This window comes from Homo sapiens, chromosome 22 (genome assembly GCF_000001405.40).
Source record: "Homo sapiens chromosome 22, GRCh38.p14 Primary Assembly".
NCBI lineage: Eukaryota > Metazoa > Chordata > Mammalia > Primates > Hominidae > Homo > Homo sapiens.
The window spans coordinates 43,028,492-43,037,741 of record NC_000022.11 but is presented as its reverse complement, the minus strand read 5'-3'; the positions used below and the strand labels follow the sequence as shown (position 1 = coordinate 43,037,741).

The following is a 9,250-nucleotide window of genomic DNA, read 5'->3' as shown; positions in this document are numbered from 1 at the left end:
ACTGCCAATTAGGGAAAAATAGGTCTTTTCAACACAAATGGTACTTGGCTGGACTCCAAATAAACTACAATTGGTGGGCTTTTCAGCCATTCCTTCTTCGTGATCTTATTGGTATGTGTGTTGTGTGTGTTCCCTGGTGTTTAAGTTTTGTTTTGTTTTGTTTTGTTTTTGAGACAGAGTCTCGCTCTGTCGCCCAGCAGGCTGGAGTGCAGTGGCGCAACCTCAGCTCACTGCAATCTCTGCCTCCCGGGTTGAAGTGATTCTCGTGCCTCAGCTTCCCAAGTAGCTGGGATTACAGGTGTACACCACCATGCCCGGCTAATTTTTGTATTTTTAGTAGAGATGGGGCTTCACCATGTTGGCTAGGCTGGTCTCAAACTCCCAGCCTTAGGTGATCCGCCTGCCTCAGCCTTCCAGAGTGCTGGGAATACAGGTGTGAGCCACTGCGCCCAGCCGTGGGGTTTAGTTTTAATGTGTTTGCTGTTGATGGCGGGTGTGGGATGGAGATCCCCGAGTCAGACTTGGCCTTGTGGCCTGGCTCTGCTGTTTATTAGCTGTTTCCCAAGCCTGTCCCTGGGGTCGTTGCACCTTTGTTTCCCACTGTATAAAATGGGGAGTTCTGTGGCCGGGCGCAGTGGCTCATGCCTGTAATCCCAGCACTTTGGGAGGCCGAGGAGGGTGGATCATCTGAGGTCAGGAGTTCGAGACCAGCTTGGCCAACATGGTGAAACCTCATCTCTACTAAAAATACAAAAATTAGCCTGGAGGCTGAGGCAGGAGAATCGCTTGAACCCAGGAGGCGGAGGTTGCGGAGAGCCGAGATGGCGCCATTACACTCAAGCCTGGGCAATAAGAGCGAAACTCCGTCTCAAAAAAAAAAAGGGGGGGAGTTCTGTTTGCCTCAGAAACAACCAGTACCACCGCACAGGGACCCTGCCCGCACGCCTTGCTGGCTCTGGCGAGCCCTCTTACCTCCCAGGAGGGGGTGTCCTCTGCACAGCTGGCGGCTCCACCTCGGCTCCTACACGCAGAAGTGAAAGACACCCCGTTAACTGTTCCCAGCTCTTCCACCGGTTTTTACAACCCGGTTCTCAGTTACATTGTGTTGTTTTTGCCTCCCTCTGGGAGAAGGGTGGAGTCCCTGGTTGGGAACGTTGGCCTCTGAGGCTCCGGGGCCACGCAGTCCTAATGGAAGAGTCACACCAAGTGGTTAGTTTGCTGGTGACCCAGTTGCTAGGTGAGAGTGAGGCTCTGCTAAGTGGATTTATGTCATATAGTGACTGTCTCATTAATGATTTAGTGATGTCATGTTCTGGGCAGATGTTTCCTCTGAGCACTTCCAGGACACGGGTGGGAAGGGTGCGGTGTTGGCAGCAGGCCTCGGGAGGCTGTCGGGCCAGGAACAGCCCCATTCAGCGCTAGGCTGGGGCTAAGCAGTGAGCCCTGCTGGGAGCTGTCCGGGAGCCGTTGCTGTTTTCTTGTCAGCCCCCACACACTTGATGGGGTGGGTCCCAGGCCAGAGGGTTGCATCCTGTGGTCGTTTTCACCAAGTTTGATAGGCTTGGTTTTCCCAATATAAACCCATCCTCGACTGGGCACAGTAGCTCACGCCTGTAGTCCCAGCACTTTGGGAGGCTGAGGTGGGTGGATCACCTGAGGTCAGGAGTTTGAGACCAGCCTGGCCAACAAGGTGAAACCCCGTCTCTACTAAAAATACAAACATTAGCTGGGCTTGGTGGTTCATGCCTGTAATCCCACCTACTTGGGAGGCTGAGGCGGAAGAATCACTTGAACCCAGGAGGCGGAGGTTGCAGTGAGCCGAGATCGCACCATTGCACTCCAGCCTGGACAACTGAGCAAGACTCCATCTCAAACAAAAGAAAACCACCATCCTTCACCTCCTTTGCACACGGGCTGCTCCCCGGGTATTAGTGAGGGCCTGGTGACAACCTTCTCACTGTCTCCCTTCTCCTCCTCCGCCTCCCACCTGGGCTGCCATGGAGACCCCATCAGTCTGGACCCGCATCTGGTTGCGCTCCACCAGCTGCTAGGACTTTCCTCACAGGGGGCCATTTCCCCTCCACACAGTGGTTCTTCAGGGTGCTCCATAAAGCCTCCTATGCTTGCCACCCATTGGCCTGTTGGCTCACACTGCCACACACCATGTCCACCAGTGCCAAACACACGCAGCTCCTCTCTGAGTGCCCCCAGGGGCCAGCGCACTCTCCACCCTCCCCTCTGGAGCCATTCCCAGCTGTGCTGCGGCCGCCTGGCCCTCTCCCCGCAGCAGCCCTGCAGCCCCTGTGGTCTGGGGAGGCCAAGGTCTCCTGCAGGGCCCTGCCTGCTGGTAACGGCACAGCGACTGGGGCTGCTCAGCGACTGGGCACCCTCAGGCTGTTTGTGTGTCCCCTAATGTGAACTGTGCCCCAGTGGAGGGCCCTGGGGCACGTGAGGACCCTTTGTGAGCAGGTGGGAGCACATCCACTTTTGATTCCAGTCTCTCATTGTGGAAGACGAGGGATTTTGATCTTCACTGATTTGCCCCAGCCTGAACCATATTAGATCTCACATCCTGTGAACAATGGCGGCCTCCTGCTTTTGTCCTGAGAAGCATTCGGAGCGCTCCTCCAGTGACAGATGCAAACCCACCTTGCTTATGCTCCTGCCCGGCCGCTGGCGCTCTGTCAGCAGGAACAAGTCTAGGGGCCCATGGCGTTCCCTCAGGCCCAGGCCCACCCTGCCTGCCACTTGGCCAACATTCCCCCACAATTCCAGTTTAACTCACCTAATCTCCCCTCCCCTTCCCACCCCTCCCCTCCCCCCTCCCCTCCCCCCTTTCTTTCCTTTTTTTTTTTTTTTTTTTTTTTTTTTAGACAGAGTCTCACTCTGTTGCCCAGGCTAGTGGCACAATCTCGGCTCACAGCAACCTTTGCCTCCTGGGTTCAAGTCATTCTCATGCCTCAACCTCCCAAGAAGTAGCTGGGATTACAGGCATGCGCCACCATGCCCGGCTAGTTTTGTTTTGTTTTGTTTTGAGACGGAGTCTCACTCTGACACCCAGGCTGGAGTGCAGTGGCGTGAGCTCAGCTCACTGCAAGCTCCGCCTCCCAGGTTCATGCCATTCTCCTGCCTCAGCCTCCCGAGTAGCTGGGACTACAGGCGCCCGCCACCACGCCCGGCTAATTTTTTGTATTTTTAGTAGAGACGGGGTTTCTCTACTAAACATGTCTACATCCTGACGTGTTAGCCAGGATAGTCTTGATCTCCTGACCTTGTGATCCGCCTGCCTCAGCCTCCCAAAGTGCCGGGATTACAGGCATCAGCCACCGTGCCTGGCCTAGTTTTGTATTTTTAGTAGAGATGGGGTTTCACTATGTTGGCCAGGCTGGTCTTGAACTCCAGACCTCAAGTGATCCGCCAGCCTCCATCTCCCAAAGTGCTGGGATTACAGGCATGAGCTACCGTGCCCGGCTTCCAGCCAAATGTTTTTGAGTGATGGCATCAGTGTTCTTAGAGATGTGCCTCTCTAAGGATGACGGAGCTGGTGAGAGGCTAGAGGGAGATCTGGCAGTGCAGGCCACAATGTGAACTCAGGCGGTGCCCTAGGGACGGGAGGAGGGGAGTTGTGCACAGGGAGCCTGCACACCGGGTGGAAGGGGATCTGCAGAGACGAGCAGTTCTCAGTGGCCCAGTAGGGGGCGTGTGTTAAACGGGGTTTGAGCCCTGAATGTAGAAGGAGGTAAACTGCAAAGCTGCAGTAACAAACGTGCTTTTCAGAAGCTGTTCAGAAAGGCCACGCTACTCATGGTTATGAATAATGCTGCCTCGAGGCCATGGCTGAATAGCAAGAACGTCACCAGGCAGCTTCCCTTCCTGCATCTTGTACTGGTTAAAATGAAATCAGAACTTTTTGTTTTTTTGGGACGGAGTCTTGCTCTGTTGCCCAGGCTGGAGTGCAATGGCGTAATCTTGGTTCACTGCAACCTCCACCTCCCAGGTTCCAGTGATTCTCCTGTCTCAGCTGGGATTACAGGCGCCCGCCACCATGCCCAGCTAATTTTTGTATTTTTAGTAGAGATGGGGTTTCACCATCTTGGCCAGGCTGGTCTTGAACTCCTGACCTGGTGGTCCACCCACCTTGGCCTCCCAAAGTGCTGGGATTACAGGCGTGAGCCACCACGTCCAGCCTGATAGCTCTTTTTTTTTTGAGACAGGGTCTGGCTCTGTCATCCAGGCTGGAGCGCAGTGGTATGATCACAGCTCACTGCAGCCTTGACCTCCTGGGGTGATCCTCCCACCTCAGCCTCCCAAGCAGCTGGGATTACAGGTGCATGCTACCACACCCTGCTGATTTTTATTTATTTTATTTTATTTTGTTTTTTGAAACAGAGTCTCATTCTGTCACCCAGGCTGGAGTGCAGTGGTGTGGTCTCGGCTCACTGCAACTTCTGCCTTCTGGGTTCAGTCGATTCTCCCACCTCAGCCTCCTAAGTAGTTGAGATTACAGGCACATGCCACCACGTGCGGCTAACTTTTGTATTTTTAGTAGTGACAGGGTTTCACTATGTTGGCCAGGCTGGTCTCAAACTCCTGACCTTGTGCTCCACCTGCCTCGGCCTCCCAGGGTGCTGGGATTACAGGCATGAGCCACCGTGCCTGGCTGCTAATTTTTTATTTTTTTGTAGCGACAGGGTCTCACCATGTTACCCAGGCTGGTCTTGAACTCTTGGCCTCAAGCAATTGGCCTGCCTTGGCCTCCCAAAGTGCTGGGATTACAAACGTGAACCACTGCTCCCCTGAAGTAGTATCTCATTATGGTTTTGATTTGCATTTTTTCTGACAGCTGATGATGTTGAGTATCTTTTCATGTGCTTATTGGCCATTCGTATGCCTTCCTGGGAGAAACTGTTTTGATTTATTTATTTATTTTTTTCTTGAGACAGGGTCTTACTCCATCACCTAGGCTGGAGTGCAGTGGCACAATCACAGCTCCCTACAGCCTCAACCTCCCAGGCTCAGGCGATCCTCCCACTTCAGCCTCCTGAGCAGCTAGAACTACAGGCATGTGCCACCATGCCCAGCTAATTTTTTGTATTTTTTGTAGAGATGGGGTTTTGCCATGTTGCCCAGGCTGGTTTCAAACTCCTGGGCACGGCTGGGTGCGGTGGCTCACGCCTGTAATCCCAGCACTTTGGGAGGCCGAGGCAGATGGATCATGAAATCAAGACCATCCTGGCTAACACGGTGAAACCCCGTCTCTACTAAAAATACAAAAAATTAGCCGGGTATGGTGGCAGGCGCCTGTAGTCCCAGCTACTTGGGAGGCTGAGGCAGGAGAATGGTGTGAACCCGGGAGGCAGAGCTTGCAGTGAGCTGAGATCACGCCACTGCACTCCAGCCTGGGTGACAGAGCGAGACTCCATCTCAAAAAAAAAAAAAAAAAAGAAAAACTCCTGGGCTCACATGATCCGCCCACCTTGGCCCCCCAAAGGATTACAGGCAGGGGCCACTATGCCCAGCCGCATTTTTAAAGGGGTGATTTTTGTACTGCTCATAGGAAATCATGACTCCTCTCTAATTCTGTGGTAGAAGGCATCATTGCCTCTTCTATAAAGCCTTTCCTGGTGACTCTAGTCTCCAATGGTCTCTCCTTTCTCTTACATTTTATTATTATTTTAAAAAATATTAGAGATGGGGGTCTTGTTATGTTGCATAGGGTGGTCTGGAACTCCTGGGCTCCAGGGATCCTCCCATCTCAGCCTCCTGAAGTGCTGGGATTACAGGCATGAGTCACCACGCCCAGCCTCTCTTGCATTTTAAAGCATAAATCAGATTCTATCAGAGCCCTAATGCCCTCCAAAAGCCTCCCCTGGAACATAAATAAAATCAAGTTCCTCGCCTCTCTGGCCTCCCCCTCCACCCCCTCCCTTCTGCCCTTGCTGGTTTTGCTGGAGACACAGCAATCTTCAAGCGTCATGCCCCTCCCTGCCTCAGGGCCTTTGCATGGCAGGCCCCTCTACTAGAATTCTCCTCCCCCATCTCTGCAGGCCTGGCTCTTTTCATCACTTGGAGCAGCCTATCCTGTCTGCCACCTTCCCAGAGAGGCTCTCCTTTTTTTTTTTTTTGAGACTGAGTCTCATTCTGTCACCCAGGCTGGAGTGCAGTGACATGATCTTGGCTCACTGCAACCTCTGCCTGCCGGGTTCAAGCAATTCTCCTGTTTCAGCCTCCTGAGTAGCTGGGATTACAGGCACTCACCACCATGCCTGACTAATTTTAGTATTTCTAGTAGAAACGGGGTTTTACCATGTTGGTCAGGCTGGTCTCGAACTCCTGACCTCAGGTGCTCCACCTGCCCTCAGCCTCCCAAAGTGCTGGGATTACAGGCGTGAGCCACCATGCCCGGTCCCAGAGAGGCTCTCCTGGTGATCCCTCTAGCCCCACTTTATTACCACCTTCTTCCGTTTTCTCCAAAGCACTCATATCCCTGAGATGATCCGGGTCAGGCATGTGCCTCTGTGCTTTCTCCCCGGCACAGCCTCCAGCTCCGCGTGCCTCTGCCTGGCCCCAGCCTGACACATGCGTGCAGCACTGATACGTGATGGCCGAACGACTGTGGGAACCAGGCCGTCTACTCATTTGGGATGGTCCTTGTCCTCCTGCTGTGTCGCTCTTATTGCCTGGGTCTTTGCTATCCACCCCCAGGCTGAGATAAGGAGGAACTGGAGGGCAAGGGCCGAGATCTGTCCTCCACTCCCAGGCAACGCTGGTCATTTGTCGAAGCATTTATGGACAATGTCAGAGCAGCAAAAATGGAGGGAGAGCAGCAGGCGGGCGAGGGATGATTGGGAAATCAAAGACATTTAGTCTTAAGAGGGATGATTTAGGTGTAACACAAAGGAGTTCAGGGACTGTTAGGTGATGAGGGGCAATTCGTGATGTGCATGTGTTTCTGGGGGCCGAGGTGAGGAGCAGAGCACAGAAGGAATGGGTGAGGGGCGCTGTTTCCACAGAGGGAGGGAGTGCTGGAGACAGGGAAGCCCCTTTGGCCTTTTGGGGTCTTTCCAGCACAGCCGCAGAAATCACACTCAGACAGGTGTAGGTGAAGGGCTCAATTACACTCACGGGCCCCAGAGAGGAAGGCCAGCCCCCATGTAGGGGGCTGGATGGGAGGAGCCCACAGGGAGCAGGCCCACCTAGCAGGTTCGGGGCCAAGAGAGCTTGAGGGCCTGAGGACCCACAGGCAAGTGCCTTTCCTGGGGGGTCAGGGCGGGGGGCACTAGCCAGAGACGTGAGCAGATCTCACTGGTGTGTTTCAAAGTGACTGGGTGACCCTCAGGGGAAGGCTGGAAGGGAACCTGGAGCAGGGACCAGGCTTATTCCACGGGGCTGCCTGGCTGCCAGGGTGGGGTGCTCTCAGCCTGTGTGTGGGCATGTTGAGGTGTCAGGGCAATAGGAAGGGTTAAAAATGGGCTAATCTCTTGCTGGGCACGGTGGCTGACGCCTGTAATCCTAGCACTTTGGGAGGCCGAGGTGGGCGGATCACGAGGTCAGGAGATAGAGACCATCCTGGCTAACATGATGAAACCCCGTCTCTACTAAAAATACGAAAAAATTAGCCGGGCGTGGAGGTGTGTGCCTGTAGTTCCAGCTGCTGGGGGTGCTGAGGCAGGAGAATGGCGTGAACCCGGGAGTCGGAGCTTGCAGTAAGCCAAGATCGCGCCACTGCACTCCAGCCTGGGCGACAGAGCAAGACTCCATCTCAAAAAAAAAAAAAAAAAGGCTAATCTCGGCCGGGCGCGGTGGCTCATGCCTATAATCCCAACATTTTGGGGGGCCGAGGCAGGTGGATCACCTGAGGTTAGGAGTACAAGAAGAGCCTGACCAAGATGGAGAAACCCCGTCTCTACTAAAAATACAAAACTAGTCAGGCGTGGTGCTGCATGCCTGTATCCCAGCTACTCGGGAGGCTGAGGCAGGAGACTCGCTTGAACCCAGGAGGCAGAGGTTGTGGTGAGCCAGGATCACACCATTGAATTCCAGCCTGGGCAACAAGAGCGAAACTCCGTCTCAAAAAAAAAAAAAAAAAAAAGGGCTAATCTCGAACTCCTGGACTCAAGCGAATCCTCCCACCTCAACCTCCCAACGTGCTGAGATTACAGGCATGAGCCACCATGCTTAGCCGAGTGTTAGGGGCCAGGGGATGTCTCCATTAGCGTTGCCTGGGTATAGAGTGGTCCATCTTGTGAGGTAATGAGTCTCCTGTCAAGGGCAAGTTCAAGCAGAGGGCAGATTCCCCCAGGGGTGCATAGAAGGGACACATGGAAAAGATGTCCTTTCTGCCTCTGAGTGCCCTCAGCTGAAGGTATGTGCTGCACTGACCCAGCTTTCAGGGGAGACCCAGATTTTGCTCTGGGACTTCTGGGATGGGGAAAGAGCCACTTCAGGGGCAGGGAGGAAAGACAGCACCAGCCTGGGAACTGAACGGCATGGAGAAGCCAGGGCGAGGACAGGCCAAGCTCCGTGGCCCTGAGAAGGAATTTCTGCTCACTTGTTGCTTTGTTGAATGTTTCTCCCCCGGCCGGGCGCGGTGGCTCACGCCTGTAATCCCAGCACTTTGGGAGGCCAAGGCGGGCGGATCACGAGGTCAGGAGATCGAGACCATCCCGGCTAAAACGGTGAAACCCCGTCTCTACTAAAAATACAAAAAAAATTAGCCGGGCTTAGTGGCGGGCGCCTGTAGTCCCAGCTACTTGGGAGGCTGAGGCAGGAGAATGGCGTGAACCCGGGAGGCGGAGCTTGCAGTGAGCCGAGATCCCGCCACTGCACTCCAGCCTGGGCAGGAGCTTGTCATCACAGTCCCCTCAGTAGCCCCAGTGTGCAGAATGGTGCTGGACACCTCCAGCTAAAAAGCCTGGGCTCTGTAATTAGGAGTCCGTGGAGGCGCTCCCTGCCCACCTACTGGCTGTGTGAGCTCAGGTTGGCTCCTTCACCTCTCTGAGTCTATTTCCTTACAGATGGTGACATGAGAGTAATGGCTATTCCTACCTCCCAGGTGGCTGAGCTTGTGCACCTGTGCCTGGGTCTGGTTGCTTTCCTGCTATTGTTAGCCGCCATGAAGGCATACCTGCTGTTGGGTGCTGCCCCTCCCCTCCCATGGTTCCCCGGGCAGGCAGTTTTCAGACCCTGCCCACCACCTGCCGGCTTGTGGAGAACAGCCCAGCTGGTAGAGCTGGAACATGGGCCAGTG

General features: G+C 54.3%; 1 annotated feature.

The window, feature by feature from the left end:
- Positions 3,194 to 3,695: an enhancer, noted in NCBI's record as "H3K4me1 hESC enhancer chr22:43430053-43430554 (GRCh37/hg19 assembly coordinates)". NCBI's record gives its function as "activates a minimal SCP1, AML or CMV promoter by ChIP-STARR-seq in primed H9 embryonic stem cells {active_cell/tissue: H9 hESC(primed)}" and the evidence as "EXISTENCE:reporter gene assay evidence [ECO:0000049][PMID:30033119]".